General features: G+C 41.9%; 1 protein-coding gene across 12 annotated transcripts in view, besides 4 other annotated features; it reads left to right on the top strand.

The window, feature by feature from the left end:
* Positions 11,720 to 11,989: a silencer, noted in NCBI's record as "silent region_2384". NCBI's record gives its function as "represses an Ori minimal core promoter by ATAC-STARR-seq in GM12878 lymphoblastoid cells {active_cell/tissue: GM12878}" and the evidence as "EXISTENCE:reporter gene assay evidence [ECO:0000049][PMID:35858748]".
* Positions 11,833 to 21,417, top strand: part of SLC16A9 (solute carrier family 16 member 9) — a 59,316-nt gene continuing 49,731 nt past the window's right edge. For 5 of the 12 annotated variants that reach the window (NM_001323980.2, NM_194298.3, XM_017015883.2 and 2 more), the window contains exon 1: positions 12,062 to 12,433. The gene's annotated coding sequence lies outside the window, so the exon portion shown is untranslated. Of the gene's footprint in view, positions 11,901 to 12,061; positions 12,434 to 14,723; positions 14,807 to 15,409; positions 21,204 to 21,417 lie in introns of those variants that run through there. The other 7 variants (NM_001323978.2, NM_001323981.2, NM_001323977.1 and 4 more) reach the window with 6 other exon arrangements.
* Positions 12,220 to 12,289: a silencer, noted in NCBI's record as "silent region_2383". NCBI's record gives its function as "represses an Ori minimal core promoter by ATAC-STARR-seq in GM12878 lymphoblastoid cells {active_cell/tissue: GM12878}" and the evidence as "EXISTENCE:reporter gene assay evidence [ECO:0000049][PMID:35858748]".
* Positions 12,430 to 12,489: a silencer, noted in NCBI's record as "silent region_2382". NCBI's record gives its function as "represses an Ori minimal core promoter by ATAC-STARR-seq in GM12878 lymphoblastoid cells {active_cell/tissue: GM12878}" and the evidence as "EXISTENCE:reporter gene assay evidence [ECO:0000049][PMID:35858748]".
* Positions 12,720 to 12,919: an enhancer, noted in NCBI's record as "active region_3387". NCBI's record gives its function as "activates an Ori minimal core promoter by ATAC-STARR-seq in GM12878 lymphoblastoid cells {active_cell/tissue: GM12878}" and the evidence as "EXISTENCE:reporter gene assay evidence [ECO:0000049][PMID:35858748]".

Here is a 21,417-nt window from a genome sequence, read left to right as displayed (position 1 = left end):
AAGAAAAAAACAAACAATCCCATCAAAAATTGGGCTAAGGACATGATTAGACAATTATCAAAAGAAGATATACAAATGGCCAACAAACATATAAAAAAATGCTCAACATCACTAATGATCAGAGAAATGCAAATCAAAACCACAATGTGATACCACCTTGCTCCTGAAAGAATGGCCATGATAAAAAAAAATCAAATCAAATAATAATAGATGTTGGCATGGATGTGGTGAAAAGAGAACACTTTTACACTATAGGTGGGAATGTAAACTAGTACAATCACTATGGAAAACAGTGTGAAGATTCCTTAAAAAACTAAAAGCAGAACTACCGTTTGACCCAGCAATTCCACTACTGGCTATCTACCCAGAGGAAAAGAAGTCATTATACGAAAAACATACTTTCACATGCATGTATATAGCAGCACAATTCACAATTGCAAAAATATGGAACCAGCCCAAATGACCATCAGTCATTGAGTGGATAAAGAAATTGTTTTATACACACACACACACACACACACACACACACACACACACCACGGAATACTACTCAGCTATAAAAAGGAATGAAATAATGGCATTTGCAGCAACCTGGAAGGAAATGGAGACCATTATTCTAAGTGAAGTAACTCAGGAATGGAAAACCAAACATCATATGTTCTCACTCATAAGTGGGAACTAAGCTATGAGCATGCCAAGGCATAAGACTTTGGGGACTTGGGGGAAAGAGTAGGGGATGGTGAGGGATAAAAGACTACACATTGGGTACAGCGTCCACTGCTCCAGTGATGGGTGCACTGAAATCTCAGAAATCACCACTAAAGAACTTATTCATGTAAAAATAAAATAAAATAAAATAGAAAAAAAAATCAGAAAAAAATGAAAGCAAAAAAAAAAACACAAGCAGAGCTAAAGTTACATCTGCTGTATTTTTTTAAATAACAGCTTTATTGAGAGGTAATTCATATACCATACAATTCACTTGACATACAATTGACATGCAATTCAAAGTGTAAAATTTAATGCTTTTTAGCATATTTACAGAGTTCTGCAATCAACATCACAGTCAATTTTAGAAATTTTCATCATTCCAAAAAGAAACCCCATGCCCATTAGTACATGTTAGGAGCTTCTCCCCATTTTCCCTCAGCAGGTCCCCTTCTTCAGCCCTAGGCAACCAGTAATCTTCTTTCTGTCTCTAAATTCACCTAATTCTGTGATGTTCATATAAATGGAATATATAACATGTAGCCTTTCCTATCTGTCTTCTTTCCACTTAGAATTTATAAGTACTTTTTACAGCAGAATAATATTCCATTGTATGGATATACCACATTTTCTTTATTTGTTCATCAGTTGATGGGCATTTGGGTTGTTTCCACTTTTTGGCTAATGTGAATAATGCTGCTATGAACATTCATGTACAAGTCTTTGTGAGGGCATGTTTTCATTTTTCTTGGTTATGTACCCAGGAATGGAAACCATTGGCTCATCTGGTGACTCTATCTTTAACCTTTTGAGGAAGTGCCAGGCTATTTTACAAAGTGGCTGCCCCACTTTTATAGTTTTTGAAAAGATTTTCTCCTAATCTCTAGAAGGGGGAGCACATTTTTGACACCTGATAATTCTCAGCATTTGAAATGTGAAATACAGATTATGAAATAAAGAAATTTAAAGAAAATAAATGAGTTTTAAAACTCAAACCAAAGTAAGAGGTTTGAGTTTTAAAACTTTCATTTATTTTCTTTGAATTTATTTTTTATGCCATCTAATAATAATTTACCTTATTATTGGGGTTCCTTATTACCCATTACATATTAAATAGTTAATTACATAAGAAATTCCTCACATTTTCTTCAAGTGCCTTAGGTCAAGTAATGAGGAGCCAAGTTAACCTGAGATACTTTTTAATTGACAGTCATTAAATTTATTTACCTACTAAATCATTGGGTACCTACTCTATGCCAGGCATGTGTGCAGTGCTGAATATTTTCTTTGCTATTTTATACTTTGAGAGGTTACTTTATTATTTCAGGGTTGGAGGAACACTGTGTACTTCAAATAATTATCATAGCTAATGTTCCACAAGCAAGCTCTTTGCATATTGAGTTTTTTGCTTTGGGTATTTATTAGTTACATACTTCTTTTTATAAAATATGCCATTTGGGCCACACTTGACAAGTCAAACTTTTTGCAAATTACAGTTGTCAGCACCACAGGAGTTCCATTAGGTATTTATTTTTCCACCTCACAGTAATGTTCATTTCTTAATTTATTTGGTGTATATTATAACATTACTGGCTGGAGAACCTGCTGAAAAATAATCTTGACCAGCCAAAGAAAAGTTGAACTAGTGGCCTTTCCAAGAATTACATCGAAGGCAGAATCCAATCCTTTACTTCATTAAGACCACAGTTGACAGAAGATGTACCCGAGTTATAGAAATATTGATGTGATGTGGAAGGAGGGTGATGCCTGAGGAGTGATTTAATTCTATTTAAATTCACATTAAAAGGCCAAGTTTCAGACTATTTTGGTTGCTGGACTTTGATTCTCTGAACTGGTTACCATACCTGCGTGTCACTACAGAAACTTCTTGGATGAATTTGAATAACTCAGATGCCAGTTGTGTAATGGAGAGAAAAGGATAGTGCATATGACATCCGTTCATTAGTCATTGTAAATTTGTCAATGGATAGAATTTTCTTCCTTTAACTTTAGTACAGATAGGTTCAGAACCTTACTTGCCATGGGATTCTTTGGTATACTCATGAAAACAAGTACTCATATAGAACTTACGTACTATGTGTTAGGCTGTTCTGAACACTTTTTCTGGTTTAATTCATGAACCTTCACAACTACCATTTGAGGTAGGTATTATTTTCCCTGTTTTATAGATGATGAAACAGGCACAAAGAAGATAAGGACCCTCATCAAGATTAAGAAGCTAATAGGTTGTTTGGGCTTCAGGGTCTGTGCTTTTGTCCTATATGCCCTCTGCTTCTTTTAACCTCTTGGGATTTCTGTTTCTTCATCTGAAAAATTAGAAGATTAAATCCTACATTGAATATGAGGTTGCACCTGCTAATCTCCAGGGCCCTTTTCCTAAGACTCAGGTTCAGATTCAGCAGTCTCAAAAAGAGCATTCATGACCACATGTGACTAAGAAATAATCAAGACAAAAAATACCCTAGGAATTAAAACACCCAGAAGCAGCTTCTTTGTGCCTCCAAAGATGTCTGAAGAACCAGATTCAATAAAAGGAAATGCCCATAATTATCATTGTACATGATGTTGACAATCAATTCAGCCTTAGATTGGTGGGTACCAGAGTCTTTGTGATGGATCCAAGTATTTGTACCATGGGCCATACCTCTCTGTAGACTTGGAAACATAATGACTTTTAATCTAAATCCACAGTGACAGATTTGGTTGAGGATAAAGGAGCTATTGCCATGCTTCTATCTGAGCCAGCTGTACCCCTGGGGTTTGACAGACGTTAGCTTCTTACTGCCAAAAGATATTGTCTTTTTTTCCCTAAGACCTCTTTAGCCTAATCATCAATTTCTCATTCTTCTTGGTTAGGACAGTTCTATTTCCAGTGAAACTTTAGCCCTTGCTTTACCAGACACCGTTCCTTAATATACTGGTATCTCATAGGTTTTCTATTTTTTGTTTCTGTTGCATCTCTTCAGTGATCTATGATTATATTTTCCAAGCCACAAATCAAGAAACTGAATTTGACAAAATAATTTTGTACTATTTCCAGTTGCAAAAGAAATCTTGAAGATGTATTTTAGATTCAATAATGCTGGAGTTTCATGAAATTTTGATGTGTTATTGGAATGATGAGATATCATATTTGAAATTGGAACTATTCTAGAGGATCCTGCAATGTGAGGCACACTTCCCTCACTTTCTAGCAATTCTTTGTTCTTGTTATTCTAAGTTCTAACCGGAAATCCAGAAACTGTCTTAGACCTTTATCTACTAATCACAGCCACTACCAGTTATGTGGTAATTCTCTATCTTTCAAATTGGTCCCTATATCATTTTATAATTTTATAGATTTTAAGTTTTCCTATCTTTTGCCTCAGCTATTAAATCAGCCTTCTAACTAGTCTCCTTCCCAGTCAGTGTACCCTCTGACATGGTTTCTAAGAGTGATCACCTTGAAACACAAATTCAACCATGTCATTCCTCTGTTTAGAATGTTGCAATGGTTCTCCTTTGCTGGATAGTCTTCACATGGAGATGAGAACTTCCATGGTCTAAACCATTGTAGAGAACATTTGTTGTTTTTTGGCTAGTCAGCATCCCAGTTTGTTTTTGGAGAAGTATCTCTCCCCTAATGAGTACTCTCAAAGTGCCCTGTTTTCCCCTAGCTTAGAGATGGCTACATGGCCCAAACCAGGCCAGTCACACTTTCTTCTGGGACTTTGAATCTTGAATAAAACTCTGCAAGGATGGAGCTCATTAATGTCCTCATGAGAATACATAGTCCCTACCAATGAGATCTCTAAATGAACGTGGGTCCTTCCAAGTTCTCCAATTTATGCTATCCTGCCAAGAGATGGGAACTGTTAACTGCATTCAAAAGCCCTATGATTGTTTACCTTCCCCTTCCCACAAATACTCTGACTTTTAATCATTTGTAACAATCCATTGTAATTCCCTAGCATACCATGGGAGTCTTTCATGCCATGAAGACTTTGCAGATGCTCTCCTCTCTGTCTTGGAATGCCTCCCTCTCAAGCCAAGCAGTGCCTCAGACTCTGTGTTTCTTTAACATGGCACAAGTTCCCTGATTGGGGTGGTTAGCCCATTCTAGTATTACTGTCAGTCTTCTTTCCTAGATTGCAACCTCCTTTGTTTTATATGATGCCTGGCATAAAATAAACAAGATATATCATTTATTTTTAATTTTTATTTTTTGAGACAGGGTCTCACTCTGTGGCCCAGGCTGGAGTGCAGTAACACGATCTCTGCCCACTTCAACCTCTGCCTCCCAGGTTCAAGCGATTCTCATGCCTCGGCCTCTTGAGTAGCTGGGATTACACGTGTGAGCCACCATGCCCAGGCTACAAGAATTATTAGATGAATGAATAAATAAAATGACAGTATATTTTGTAGTTCATACATGGGAATTTATGTTATAGATAACAAATAAGGCACATCTCCAGAACTGAAGAAAAGGATAGAAGGTTTAAGATAATAGGATCAACATAAAATTCATGAGACTGACTATAGGAGAATTGCTGATGAAATCAGGGCAAATTTATTAAAATAGGAGTGATGATGATGATAAAGTTACGTGACAAACACAGAGCATGTATGTCACTAGCTAAGTAGTTTCTAATTAGGTAAGTAGTTTTAAAATATCATTTAAATTTATTTATTTATTTATTTTTAGAGTTGGGGGGTCTTACTATGTTGCCCAGGCTGGACTCAAACTTCTGAGCTTCAGCAATTTTCCTCCCTCAGCTTCCCAAGTAGCTGGGACTACAGGCATGTGCCACCACACTCAGTTCAAAATGCTATTTTTAATACAGCTTGGTTAAATAGTAGTGGTTGAGAGCACAGAATCCAGAGTCAGACAGCCTGGGTTTAATCTCCATACCTGTATTTTTTCATTTTTTGGATGGAATAAATTGTACCTACCTCATAAGGTTGTCATTATGAAAATAAAATAATATAGGTAAAGTACTTAGCACAGTGCCTGGTGGTTCTAGTCATTCTTCATTTGCCAGCCCACCCCATCCCAATCCAATTTCTGCCCCTCTTTGACTCTCTGTTCCTGGGAGGCTGAACCCTTATGGGCAGTATTCCATTCTCCCTCAATGCCTGCCTTCTGCGTGGGCTTGGTCAAGGGTAGGCACCACCAAGAGATCTGAGAGCAGAGAGAGAGGTGAGAGTATTGGCTGTACACCCATTTTGATGCCTTGTCTCTGGGAACAAACTACCTTCCTTCCCAATTTCAGCCCCCTTCAGGGGCTGCTAGCCCAGGCCCTGGGCACACTAGGTCTTCCCTTTGTCACTGAAGCCCCAGGAGCAGTAAAGGCTTCCCACTGTCCCTCAGCTTTGAGTGCCTCCTATTTATTCTTTTGACTCTGCCCACATTGCTATAAAGTATTTTTCCCTTAAGATTTCTTTGACTATCTGGGATGAATCCTGTTTCCTGCCCAGACCCTAATACACTGTACATAGTAATTTCTTTAAAATGTGAGCTTTGGTTATTATATTAAATTATTAATATTAAATATTTAAATTGTTAAATTATCAGTGATTTGATAATTGTTAAATTATCAAATAATAAATATTTAAATTGTTAAACTATCAACGAAATTTTCATATAGTTTGATTAACTATATAAAAACAAACATTGATATTGAGAAGGCAGGATTCAGAAGCATCTTCAAAATAAAGCAGGCCAGGCATGGTGGCTCACGCCAATAATCCCAGCACTTTGGAAGGCAGAGGCAGGAGGATCACTTGAGCCCTGGAGTTTGAGATCAGCCTGGGCAATATAGTGAGACCCTGTCTACACATCCCTCAACATACACACGATTAGCTGAGTGTGATGCTGCCTGCCTGTAGTTCCAGCTACTTGGAGGCAGAAGTAGGAGAATCGCTTGAGACCAAAAGGTTCGGGTTGCAGTGAACCAAAATCATCCCATTGCACTCCTGCCTGGGCAACAGAGACCCTGCCAAAAAAAAAAAAAAAAAAAATCCGAACTAACCAACCAAACAAACAAAAAACATAAACCAGAGGACACATTTCATATCTACAGCAAGTTGCTTGCCTATGGTTTGGAATAACTCCCAAGTACTTTGATGGAAAAGTGTAAGTAGCTCTGCAATGTGGTAGGTGGTAGGGACAGAGATGAGTAAACCATTCTATGTGAGCCCAGCCTGGGGGTAGGGTAAGTAGAGGATAATTCATGTATCCTTTTAGATTGCTTCTGTCTGCATTGATTTCAGTCTATGTTCAAACTGTTAGGAAACTGCTTGACTATATTTTTTTTCCTCAAGGGTATGTTTTTTCCTGTATAACTTTTACTTTCATGGATTAGTTACCATCTTCTAAATTACTCCCAAGAAATCAAAATTGCAGCCTGTTGAATAGATAGATCTAAGGTGACCATATTTGCCAAGTAAACATTTTTTACTTAGTGAACCAGTGGGCAAAGTCTTTGGACTACCTACACATTTTAGGCAGGATGGACCCTGTACATAGAGTAAAAGTCATGCTCTTTCTCTTACATCATGTAATGAAGAGAAGAAGGCTAAAATGTAACACTTTGAACTGAAAAACTGGTGCCGTCTGAAACTTTATGTAATACATCTAAATCAAATACTTAGGCAAAAGCACATTAAAAAAAACTGGCACTGTTTCATAAAAAGATTTGATGCACTCATCTTGTGTTTATTTTTATATAGTATGCATCTACTCCACCTGTATTTTCACAAGAAGAAATTGGATCCGTTGGTATATTTGAACTCCACACCCTGCCTTTGGTAGTAAGCCCTTCTTCCTTAATAATGACACTGTAGATCATGTAAACTGAATTTGTAGCACATAAGATTCTATGGGTGGATTTAAAATGTGGGAAATGGCTTTAAAGTGCCCTGGACAGATGCAGAAATTTTCTCTTCCTCTCCTTCAGTGAACTTTTGAGAACCTGCTATGTGCCAAGCACTCTGCTGGAGCCTGGTATAAAGCTTGGTAAGCACAGCTGGAGGTCCTACGTTATGTGTGGACCCTGGACTCACTTTGCCTGTGTCTGCCTCTGTCTCAGCCATTTTGGTGCCCTCCAACTTCGGGCACCTCTTTAACCTCATGAGGCCTTAATTTTCCTTATACATAAGAATATGCACATTCTGTATAATTTTATGTTTCTGATTTCCACTTTCATGAGAATTTAGAGTGACAATTCAGAGCAGGGTTCTCTGTAGCCTGGTCACCAAGATTCAAACCTCAGCTTCACCTCTCACTATGTGATTGAGGGCAAATTATTCAGCTTCTCTCTAGTTCATTTTCATTATTGGCAAAAGGCAGGTGATAATAGTAGAACCTACTTCTTGGGTTTCTTGTGAAGCTTTAAATTAGTGTAAGAAGTCAGTCCTCATTGTTAGCTCTCCCCAATCTTGAATCATTCTTCCAAAGTAGATTGGGAAGAGCACAGGCTTAACAATCAGCCAGATCAGGCTCGGAATCTCACTCCATCACTGACCCAGCAAGTGACTCAGCAAGTAACTTAACCATTCTGAACCCCAGTGTCCTCATCTGTAAAGTGAAGATAACAATACTTAGCCAGGCTGGGCACGGTGGCTCATGCCTATAATCCCAACACTTTGGGAGGCCGAGAAGGGAGGATCTCTTGAGCCCAGGTGTTGGAGATCAGCCTGGGCAAGATGGCAAGACCAAGTCCCTACAAATAAATTTTTCGAATTAGCTGGGTGTTGTGGTGCATGCCTGTAGTCCCAGCTACTCAGGTGGCTAAGGTGAAGGATCCCTTGAGCCCCGGAATTCGAGGGTGAAGTGAACCGTGATCATGCCACTGCACTCCAGCCTGGATGAGAGAGTAAGACCATGTCTCTAAAAAACAAAACAAAACAATACCATTGATTTATATTCCCCATTTCCCCTAAAGTAAAAATCACTTGAGCCAGATAATATGATGAAAGATAAAGGCAGGAAAATATGAAATGATATTCTGGAGAATTGCAAGTAAAAATACAATATAGTGTATCTTTAAGGTCACTTTTAACATTTGAAAATTTGTCCTTTTAAACAAAAGCTCTATAAGCATAAGAGAATGATTTATCCACTTTTATTATTTTCTGACTGTTTGTCTGTTAGAGTGTGAGAGAATAAATTGGAATTAATAGAATGGTTTATAGATAGATCTCCAAGCCAACTGCTATAAAAACCACAAAATCAGTTTTCTTTAATTGTTTTTAACACAAAGTGTAGTGTCTTTGTAGCTATGCTGTCATTCATAACAGGAGAAGAACATCATGTCAAAAGAAAAGAAACCTGAATGGTGTGGTAAGTCAGGGAGGAAAGTCTGGTCAGCCAGGCAAGCACTGGACCAGTGACTCAGGTGCTGGTCAAGTGTACCACCTTCCCCTGACCTGATGACACCTTGCTCTGCCCTCTGTGTTTCATGTTTCTGCTTCCATGCTGGGATAAGGACCAAAGAACAATTTTAGGTTAATTTCTCCATCTCATTCTCTAAAGGACTAAGGTGGCAAATAGCTTAAGAAAGGGAAGTCTTAGAACATTTCACAAATTATGAAGTTCTTAATAAATACCTAATAATAACAATGAAAAGCAAAAAATGAACTCTTTTATTTAGTTGACACCTCTATATCAACTTTTCTTTAAAAGCATTTCTCAGGTTCCTTTTCTTCCAAAGCCGGGTTCATTTAAATCTGGCTTATGTAATAGCCTGCCTTTTTCCATCTTGTTGAAACTATTTCTGAGCCTGGAGAGTGACCCAAAGGGCAGATGCTGGCCAGAGCTGTAAAGCCAGCAATATCTAACTTATCTGATTCTCGCTTGGCAAGCACAGCTTGCATTTTTTTTTTGTCACTGGATGGAAAAAAGTGGGGGCATAGAGGGGTGGTTTTAGCTTTGTCTCTGCTGACTTATCTGCCTCCCTCACCCCCAGGGTGATCTGGAGCACATCTTGAGCTTCTCCCGGTCAAATTCCATTTGGAAGTAAAGTGTCAGGACTCAACTAGATTTCTGAGTTCTTTTACATGTCTTAATGCTCCCCTGCAGATGATGGGGGCAATTTTCACATTCCAGCCTGGCAGCAGTCCCCTTAGCCAAGTGTCTACTGCCCCAGGGCAAGATTCTAGCTCTCTGATTCCTCCAAGCTCCCTTCTAGCCACTTCATTCATTACATTAGAAGCCTGGCCCTGCAGCCATCTGAGTTTATGACCCCTGAGAACCAGTCTTTCTCTCTAAAGCTGGGAGCATGCCTGTGTGTGAGCACAAGCTCATTTTTGGTTCTTAGTTGATAGGCAAGGGCTGGCCTGAGTAGAAATGGAAGTGCTGGCTATATACTCTTCTAAAAGAAATCTGGGAAAACTTGGTGCAAGTGATAACAGGCATGTGTCAATTTCAGAAACCAGTTGGTGGATGTAGAATATTTTCCAGGCACAATTTCCTTGTCCCCAAAACATAAGTTCATATACATTGATTGGTTTGAGCAACAATCAAGATAACATGTGCTCTGGTGCTTAGGAAGTATTTGAATCAAAGACAGACTTTCTAAAATTACCTTTCATTGGCTGGGTGCGGTGGCTCACACCTGTAATCTCAGCACTTTGGAGGCCAAGGCGGTGGATCACTTGAGGTTAGGCGTTCAAGACCAGGCCAACGTGGTGAAACCCCATATCCACTAAAAATACAAAAATTAGCCAGGTATAGTGCTGCGTGCCTGTAATCCCAGCTACTCAGGAGGCTGAGGCAGGAGAATTGCTTGAACCCTGGGAGATGGAGGTTGCAATGAGCTGAGATCACGCCGCTGCACTCCAGCCTGGGCAACAGAGCAAGACTCCATCTCAAAAAAACTATTTTATTGAAACATAGAGAAAAGAACACAAATTATCAGTGTATAGGTCAACGCATTACCACAAAGTGAACGCACTTGAGTAACCATAAACCAGGTAAAAAAATACAGCCTAAGAATCCCCTATTGTGTTCCCTTGCCTCTTTAGAAGTAAGTTTTTTATGGTGTTGACAGTACAGTTTCTCCATTTTTCCTTCCAGAACTTATTCTTGGGACCATGTTGCTCTCATTCTCACTGTTACTTTTCCCCTCTTCTCTTTTTCCTTCTTAGAACAAAACAAAATACTATTGACTAGCAGTGGTCATTCTCTTCACTCTAACCTGAAAGTCAATAAATTGAGTAGAAAGGACTGATGGGGGCCAAAAGGGCTGAACCTCCACCACATTTGTGCTGTAAGAAAACATGACATGGTTGCCTAGGCTCCACAGGTTTTTTAAACTCTCATCTCACACAAACTCCATGATACAGGCAAGATTCTTGTAATTTCATAGACAAGGAAACAGAGGCTCAGCAGCTTGATCAGCACTTCTGAAACCAACCCTTTGCCAGGTGTAGAGTCTTCGTCTAGGCCAGGACCTGTCACTTCAGTGTATAAAGGAAGTTCTCATCAAGGTGGTTGATGGCCGCAGTCCCCTTTAAGAAGTAGAAAGTGTGGTGCGGCTTCCCAGAAAAAACACAGAGGAACACAAAAAGTGCATATCACTTTGGAGGTTTCCCACGGCCGGCGAACCACTGGTACCTATGGACAGCCCCCAGCTGCTGCAGTGACTGAGGGATAAAACAGCCATCCATCTCTGCGCGCAAGCCCATTACCAAAGATAGTATTGCCAATGGTAGTATTGTTAGTGCAGTTCAACTGCAGGACAGACTGAACGTCCTTAGAAGCAGCCTGTGTGTGTGTGTGTGTGTGTGTGTGTGTGTGTGTGTGTGTGTGTGTGTGCACCGCAGGACGCCCTCCTTTCCCGCGGAGCTGTCACAAAGGACTGTACTTGGCATCCTCACTCCTCACTTCCCAGGATCACGGACTCCACAAAGTTCTGGTGCCCGTTTCTCCGGGACCACTGCCAGCTGAGCATACAGCTCCGGCCAGGAGGGCGCCAGCGGCCCCGGGAGCCAGGGAGACCAAGGAACACTCGCATTCATTTGTACACCCCGGCTCCCCCCAAACGCGCACGGCCCTTGGCGGGCTTGGCCAGGGCACGTGGTGGGCGGCGGGGGCACAGCGGCGCCTGGGGACGCGCGTGTGTGCGCACCGAGAGGGCGCCTGGCCGACGGCGCCCACCTCTCTCGTGGCTTTGGTGGCTCCAGGCCTGGTAGGGCCGGGGCCGCGGCTCGGGCAGTGCCCTCCCTACTCCTGGCCGGGCCGGGAGCAGCGGGAGCAGGCGCAGCGCCCCTACCGCCCGCTTTTCCGCCTCCATCTCCTCCGCCTCCTCCTCCTCCTTCCCCCAACCACCCGCGCAGTCACAACCGGTTCAGACTGGCCGGGGTGCCCCGCAAAGAGAGACAAGGGAGAAAAAGACAGCAGGGAAAACCCCGGGGAGGAGAAGGCGAAAGAGAAGGTGGAGCTCAGAGAAGGGGGCCGGCTCCCCAGCTCCATGTGGCCGCCGCCGCTGCGGGTCTGTGGGGGCAGAGGGCGGCGGCTCCCGGGGCAGCGCGTAGCGGGACCGATTGCCTAATACTCCGGCAGGGGCCGGGGCCGCAGCTGGCTCGGATAAATAGCCGCCCGGCTGGCCCGGAGCTGCAGGGGAGAGCGGCGGCCGCGATCCCCACCACACCACCAGCCCGGCCGCACGGGGCACTGAGCCGGGTGCTGAGCACCGGAGGCCCCGCCGAGGCCGGGACTCAGGTAAAGGGCTGGAGCTTGCGGGGAGGGTTCCAAAGGTGGGCAGCAGCCCCTGCTGCCCAGCGTCCTAGAGGCAAGAAGTAACTCCGACTCGGAGCAGTAGGAGGGGGCGGTGGAGCAGCATGGAACCGGGCTTTTGTCTGGGGTGTGTGCCGGGGGCTTCGAGTGTCCACGGTGCGCCCGCCCCTCGCCGCCCCCTTTTTGATGGGGTGCTTCTACAAAGTGGGCAAGTTTTCCCGGGAATCCGAAGGCGGCATTTTGTACGGAGTTGAAAGAGAGGGAGGGGGTCCTGGGGGTGGTACGGTGGCCCCCCAGAGAGCTGCCTCTGGACTCCAGAGAGCTTCCAGGGTTGCTGGTGGAAGAGCAGGGAGAGGTGCATGTGATGCAGGTGGGCCTCCATTTCCCAGAGGACCGAAAGGCCTCCAACTGCCTTGGTCCGGAGCGCGAGCAACCAGGTGCCCCCGGAGGGTTGGGAATGGGGCGCCGCGGGTACTCCTGACCTACGTGGAGCGCAGCGCGCAGGGCCGGCGGATTCTGCACGTTGGCGCCAGGTTCAGCACCACCCGGCAGCCCTGGGCGAGCGCGGGAGCCCAGCCTTCGCCACCGCCGCAGGAGGCACCGGCACCGCGCCCACCTGGACCCTCAGCCAGCACTTGGGAGGACTTGGTGCTTAATGCCCCATCTTTGGTTCGCCCTAGGTAACCTGCTCTGGCTTCAGCAGCGCCCAGAGGCTTTCCAGAGAGCTGATAACCACGAACAAACTTGGCTGTCAAAAGCAAATCAATGCTTTACCTTGTTTTCTGGGTGCCTAGTCTATCCAACACAAACTATCCCCGAAGTTTAGTCAGGATTTACGCTAAATATATTACTTATATAGTAAGTTATTCGATATAACATTTTTGGTCAATTTTCTAGGCTACAGTTTTGATGTGTTTTTTAAAAATCTTGAATTAACTGAATAACAGTTCATATTGAAGGTGGATTCTCCCATTCCCTGCACCCAGGATTTTCCGTTGTTCCATCAAATTCTGTAAATCGGTATGCCCTAACAGTTTCTTATATTTGAGTTGGCTTCAGCTTCGAGAAATTCTTCAGGCAGGTTTAGGCAGAGGGCTGAGGAAGCTAGAGAAGATTCCGAAGAGAAAGGATGATTATTTGTTGCATGATTATAGCTTCTTTTAAAACTTCTAATAGGAAAACCCTTCCACTTTCCTGGACCAAATGCAGAGTAAAGTCATTTTCTATTATCTGTTGCAATAATTAATAATAAATATGTAAATGCAGAAAACATGGTTAGTACCCATATCATTGCCAGAAACCAGTCCCGCTCTCCCTCCACCATCAAAAAAAAGTCCTCGCAAGTAGGAATTAGATAAAATAATTTAACCTGCAATTTTGCAACAACTCAGACTTTCAGCACCACCGACCCCCTAATAACATCCCTACTGGTTTCTTCCATTTTTTGTGTAGGCAAGTGGAATAACAGGTATCCTTCATATCCATAGGAAGAGCATTGGGAGGAGCCAAAGATATGGGGAGGTAGATCAAGACATTAGGAAATCTTTTCTGGCTTCTGACTTTGAGTCTGAAAAGGTGGTGTGAATTGGTTGGTGTCTGAATCTTTATCAGGACACATTATGGTGGTCTGGGGTGGATCTGGCCATGCAACTCAAGCTAGAGGATGACAACTACAGAGATGTGGTCACATTTTCAAGTTTTACTTCCTTACCTCAATCTTTCAAACCCCTAATTAATTAGGTAATAAAAATTGTATATATTTATGATGCACACAACACAGTATTTTGAAACAGTAATACATTGTAGAATGGCCCAACCAACATAATTAACCTATATGTATTACGTCACATTTTTATCTTTTGTTTTTTTTTTTTTTTTGGTGTGGTGAGAACACTTCAAATCTACCATCTTAACAATTTTCAAAATTGTGACTATAGTGACTATAGTCACTATGTTGCACAATAGATCTCTTAAACTTATTGCTCCTATCTAACTGAAATTTTGTATCCTTTGACAAACATCTCTTCACCCCAACCCTACCTACTGGTAACCAGGGTTCTACTCTATTCTCTGAGTTCAACAATTTTAGATTCAAGTCTCCCTTCCCTTCCCTTCCCCTCCCTTCCCCTCCCTTCCCTTCCCTTCCCTTCCCTTCCCTTCCCTTCCCTTCCCTTCCCTTCCCTTCCCTCCTCTCCCCTCCCCTCCTCTGCCCTCCCCTCTTTTCCTTCCCTCTTTTCTTCTCTCTCTTCTCTCTCTCTCTTTCTTCTCACTGCAGCCTCGACTTCACCAGGCTCAGGTGATCCTCGCACCTCAGCCTCCCGAGTAGCTGGGACTACAAGCGTGTGCCACCACACCCAGGTAATTTCTGTGTTTTTGTAGAGATGGGGTTTCGCCATGGTTCCCAAGCTGGATTACAGGCATGAGCCACTGTGCCCAGCTGACTTCCCTTTTTTTTTTTTTTTTTGAGATGGAGTTTCACTCTTTTTTTTGAGATGGAGTTTTGCTGTTGTCACCCAGGCTGGAGTGCAGTGGCTCAATCTTGGCTTACTGCAACCTCTGCCTCCCGGGTTCAAGCAGTTCTTCTGCCTCAGCCTCCCGAGTAGCTGGCATTACAGGTGCGTGCCACCATGCCTGGCTAATTTTTTGTATCTTTAGTAGAGATGGGGTTTCACCATGTTGGCCAGGCTGGTCTCGAACTTCTGACCTCAGGTGATCAACCCGCCTCAGCCTCCCAAAGTGCTGGGATTACAGGCGTGAGCCACCACGCCTGACTGATTTCCTTCTTTTTCAAGTCTGAATTAGTCTCCTATTGTGTGTGTGTGTGTGTGTGTGTATCACATTTCTTCATCCATTCATCCACTTATAGACATTTAGGTTGATTCCATATCTTGGCTATGGTGAATAATGCTGCAAGGAACATGGAAGTGCAGCTATCTCTTCAATATAATGCTTTCCTTTGGGTATATAGTGAGATTGCTGGATCATATGGTAGTTCCATTTTTAATTTTTCTGAGGAACCACTGTATTGTTTTCCATCATGGCTTTCCAAGATAGTATCACTTAATGACTTCAATTTTAATTAATGATTGCAAAAATGTATGTATTTTGAGCTACTTAGCCTTTTCTTCTGGAGGTTCTTGGCAGACACCAAAGTAACCCTTATGGATGATGAGACTGAACTATAACAAAACACCAAGTTCAAAAAAAAGAACACATGGTCCCTGCCTCCAAATGTTTAGTGAGAAAAATAGATTTACAAATATCTGCATTACAAGATAGTATAAATGGAGTCATAGGGTAGAACATCAATAGTGTGCTACTGAATGACAAAGGAAAGGAGAGGTTCATTCAAGGCTAAGTGTGAAGAAAAGTTGTGGGGTGGGTGTAGCAATTTAGGAAGAGGATTTCCTTGATGGAAAAGAGGCCTGCTGGAACAAGAGAATAGCACAGAGATAAGGAAGTCTAGTGTGTTTATAGGAAGCAAAGCAGTTTGGAGTAGCTGAAACCTGGAATTTAAGACAGATAAGGCTGGGAGGTGGGATGGGGCTAGATTATAGAGACTATGACATGTCATGCTAAGAAATTAAAATATGATTGAACATTATTGGTATATTTACATAAACAGTATCAACATCCTTAACTGTACTTTTTGCCTTTAATTTCAGTTTTATGAGTTTCCTTCTAAAATAAGTAGTTGATTAAAATCTCAATATTCACTTCCTATCAGTTTCTTTCAATCAGTAAAAGAATAATGTATTCCTAATATCCTTCAATGCTTTATCTAAATCCAACAGTGTTTTACCCCCAAACCTGCATTCCTATGATATTAATAGCTCTTAGCTTGATTAAAACTTCCGATAGAAAAACACTTCCACTTTCCTGGGGCAATATGCAGTGTATAGTCATTTTCTATTCTCTGTTGCAATCATTAATAATAATAATTAATGTTTATTAAACATGTTATGTCAAGGGAGCCACATAGCCTTATGTTATCTAGGGAGGCATTATTTTGATCTTAGACTGAGAATTTTTACAAGGTCACACAACTAAGTAAAGGGACCAAGGAGTCTACCCCCAGAGTCTGTGCTTTGAACTATTGTACTATCATGTAACGGGGCATAGTGTATGATAATTATTGTTAATATTAGATAGAAACTGGGCCTGATTCCTGTAGCAGGACTGTTTCTCTGTTTTTTTTTTCTTTGCATCTTAATTTTCATCATTTGGATTAATTTTATCTTACACTTTCAGTGACGGGACATATTTTAATGTTTTAATACACTTTTAAACTACTCATGGGATCTCGTATTTTTATGACCCACCCAAAAGAAACTCTTAAACTCTGAGAAGAGACAGGATGTGGGACGAAAAAAAATGTTAGCAACAGTGATGGCACAAGATGTGAAGACCAGGCCTCTGGAAGAATGTTGATTACCAATATTCTCATGATTCCCAATAAACTCCCCAAATCACCAGATCTTTTTGCATTTCAGCATCCCATATATTTTTCTGTGTGTCTTGATTTTTTTATTATGAAGGTAATACAGTAAACATACTACTTTGTACATGACATACTAAAGTATGTATTTAGACAACAGATCAAACATCACATGATCATGTATAAATTGTGCAAAACGTTTGCTAACTGAAAGAACACGTCAGTGTTATTATCATAGATTTCTTCACCAGAACACTATTCTCAGGCCAAGCTCTGGAGGAGAGGGTTGTGTGGAGTAGAGAGAAGCTGAAATGAGAGCCTGGCAGTCCAGTGACCCTGGTAACAGTGTGGGACACAGGGAGATGATGATACCAATGTATCTCAGTGTCTGGCCCTCACTCTGCCTAAATTTAACTGTTACATCTTTATTTTTGTATTTACTTTGTTAAATATTTGGACCTTTCCATCTTTTCTCAGGCTCTGAGTGGTTTACAGATTCTGCTATTTTCACTTTTGAGTTTGAGAGTAGGACTTAGAAATAGATGACTCTTCAATGGATTGGTGAGTAAAGGATCCTGAAACTGTTCTCTCCTTTAGCATGACGTCTCTCAACTTCAGTTTCCTCATGGGTAGATTGAGGGATTGAATAAGATAAGTGGTGGCAATCACAAATCTTCACAAGGTTTACCCGGATGAGACAGGCATCATAAATGAGCAAAGAAGACTGGGGGCAGTGGTTGGGTAGTAGGTGTGTGGAGGTATGGGGGATAGCACAGGTGAAACTAAATGCAAGGCAACGTTAGTCCTGCGTCAGGGAGATATTAGGGAGTAGAAGGACCTGGAGAGAAAATGCCTCATCCAATGAGAGCCAGACTTACTCAGTTCCAGTTAATTGTTATGTAAGAATGAGGGCCCAGTGTTATCAGAACTTTCAATGTTTTGAGAGAATCCTAAAGTTCAGATTTTTATGTGAAATCTATTCTAGTGTTAAAACATCAGCAATTTGGCCGGGCGCAGTGGCTCACGCCTGTCATCCCAGCACTTTGGAGGCAGAGGCGGGCGGATCACGAGGTCAGGATATTGAGACCATCCTGGCTAACAGGGCGAAACCCCGTCTCTACTAAAAAAATACCAAAAGAATTAGCCAGGCATGGTGGCGGGCACCTGTAGTCCCAGCTACCTGGGAGGCTGAGGCAGGAGAATGGCGTGAACCCGGGAGGTGGAGCTTGCAGTGAGCCGAGATCTCGCCACTGCACTCCGGCCTGGGCGACACAGCAAGACTTCGTCTCAAAAAAAAAACGAAAAAAAAAAATCAGCAATTCATTCAAATTTACTAAAAACAAAACCAAAAACATTGAGTCCGCCAAACGAAACACATTAAGAGACCAGACTTGGCCAGATTTGGCCTGAGTGGTGCCAAAGTTTCCAAAATTCCTTCTGACTTCAGACTTTTGTGATCCTATATAGCCAATTTCTTCCCCTTTTGCTAAAACATATGGTAGTACTCCCTGTATCCAAATTATGACAGCTTTGGAGGAGCTCTTTGGCAAATGCTAGACTATAAAAAATCTACAAGGCCTCGAAGATTAAAAAATATCCTTTTTTCATAGCCGCACTATTGATAAAATTCAGAGGCCTCATACCACGGGAGGCCATGATAGGAGAATTGCTTCAGCCCAGCAGTTTGAGACCAGCTTGGGTATCATAGTGAGACTTCGTCTCTACAAAAAATGAAAAATTAGCGGTCATAGTGGCACCTGCCTGTAGTCCTAGCTATTTGGGAAGCTGAGGTAGCAGGATCATTTGAGCTTGGGAGGTCAAGGCTGCAGTGATGAGCTGTGATTGCACCACTGCACCCCAGCCTGGCAACACAGCAAGGACCTGTCTCAAAAAATCAGAGGCTCCAGAAGTTAATTACCTGTATTTATTGTCCCTTTCAGGAACGATTAGTGTGATTTAGTTCCAAGATTCAGAACTGCTCCTCTAAATATTTTACTTCCTGTTCTGCCTTTCCATCTTAATGTGAAAGAATCAATTTTGGTTTCCACTTGGATGAGGGGTATTTATAGGCTTGGCTGATGGTGTTCAGACAAAGCAATCTTCATTGTCTTTAACCTGGCAATATTTCACCACGTATTCTGTCCCTCTTCCTTAACAGAGCTATCTGGGGATGTTCTTGAATTTCAACTAGATGGATAAATTAAGTGTTTGACTTGTAGAAGTTAATATGGCAATTTCGATTTTTTTAAAAAGCTATTTATATGGATCCAAAAAATAAAAAGGTAAACATAATGAATGGATTTGCAGTGAAATTCTTTAATACAAGTGTGTTTTTAAAGCTGAGTTTCTTGGATTTGACTGGCTGGGATGTGTTATTTGCTTTATGTCAATGAGCTATTCTACAAACAAGTGGGCCTGACTTAAAGTTCAGAGCAGATGTTGACAATGAGAAGGAAGCATTTGAGTACATAAAACAAGAATGACATGTTGAGAGAAACCACATACCTTACTGTGACTGAGCTGACTACAGAGGACAAACAAGAGGCTCTGAATGACAGTTTTGAGCCACGATTTGCCCTTGTCCTAGCCCCAGTAATGAGTCAGCCCCCACCCTTTCACATCAGCGAGTATGTTAACCATCACTGAATGTTTAACATTTAAAACCGAATCGGAAAGAATCAGGTAATTATTTGATCATTACAGCCATGTCATCCGATGTTATATTGGTAAAAGATTTGGATTTTAATTTTTTTACTCATGTATTTGGCTAGCTTTTCAGATTCAATGGTGGAGACAGACTCTAAGCTCCAGAGAGGAAGGGGCCACATCTCCTTCACCCCACAATGCCTTCTAAATGCACTCAGTTCATTTTGTTGAATGAAAGATCTTTGATTAATCATTTGAATATATAGGAGATTTTAGGTAAGTAGGCTTTCAATGCATTCATTCATTCATTCCATACAGATTTGTTGAGCTTTCCCTATGTGCCAATCATAATTCTTAGTGCTAGGCATATGTGATAGACTTGTGGGCTAGTCCCTTAACAAATAACAATCTATTGTAATAAATATTATGGCAGAGATGCTTAAATCGGTGTGAGACCTTGGAGGAGGAATGACTGATGTAGAGTTTCACAGATGGCATCAAGATGAGAGAAACAGTTTGGGCTCAGTCTTGAAGGAAGAGTAGAATTGGAGAAAGGCATTCCAGCTGCCTCCAGCTACTAACAGGAACTGAAGAGTCAAAGCTTGGACGAGGGAGGGAGCATAGCTAAAATGCTGAGTCGTGAGCTGTGGGTTGGGGGGCACAGATTTGTTGGACATCCTAGCATTACAGACTTTTAGAAGAAAGAATCAGGTAACTGGCTAGTTATTTAAAGATCTGGATATCTGATGTCATATGAACACAACATGGTTTTATAAAACCAATGCTTTCATTTTTGTTTATAATTTTTGAATAACATTATAGTTTTAGTGATGGACAACTGTAAGCTTCATGAGGGAAAGAATGATTGTCATTGATATCTTAGTGTCCTTTTGTAATTAATGAAATAAAACCTTGTGCTCTGCTAATGGGTAAACTGTGGGTAATGAGGAACCATGGAAGGATCTGAAAAATTGGAAGCAGAATTGAGATGACCAGAGAGCCACGGTTTAGGAAGATGGATCTGGGAGCAGCTCGGCAGATGCCCTGCAGCAGGGAGACAGTGTAAGCTGAGGGATCCACCTGTAGGCAGTTGTGATGGTCCAGGCATTCGCAGAAAAGATGGAGAGGAAGAGTCTGATTGCAGAACTCTTTGGGGGACCCTAGGATGCTGGAGACGGGTAGCTGGGATTCAAGGAAGAGCTGGAATGCAATGAAGTGGAGGCTTTGTGCTTGGGCAAATGGAAGTACGGTCATGACAGTTTTCCAGGTAAAATTCAGGAGGAGAAATTAAGAATTGAGTTTGAGGGGCCTGGGCACATCCAGTTGAGATCTTGACATGGAAAATGGTGAAAAATTCGTTAGAAATGTGGATCTGGAGTTCTGAAGAGAGGTCAGAGCTGGGGATGGAGACTTCAGACTTCTTGCTTGAGTATCTGTGATCACTTGGTGGCGTTAGAGAGAGCCTGGGAGAGTCTTGCAGTGGGCTCACGAAAGCCAAGGGGGCAGTGGTTCATAAAAACAGAGACGTAAACAGTGTCAAGAATGAGGAGGCTGTGCTGACAAACTGTGAGGATGCAGGGAATGCCATAGTGAAACACTTTTTATTGTCTAGGTGCATCAGAAGCCAGAAATCACTGAGTAGAGGAATGATGAGAAGGTGAGGAAGCAGAGGTAGGGAGAGTACCCTTTCATGCTTTTCTAAGAAAACCTTTGAAAGATGCAACTACAGTAACAAGATTGAACACTTACTAAATAGTTACTTTATGCGAAGCTCCGTGCCTGTGCTTCATGGCCAGGCTTGAAATCCCCTGTAGGTTTTAGCATATGCTTGGATGGTTACTAGAAACATGCTCATGTGAAATACAAACTTAAAATGGAGTTCTTC

This window comes from Homo sapiens, chromosome 10, assembly GCF_000001405.40.
Source record: "Homo sapiens chromosome 10, GRCh38.p14 Primary Assembly".
Lineage (NCBI taxonomy): Eukaryota > Metazoa > Chordata > Mammalia > Primates > Hominidae > Homo > Homo sapiens.
This window is presented reverse-complemented; position numbering and strand designations above follow the sequence as displayed.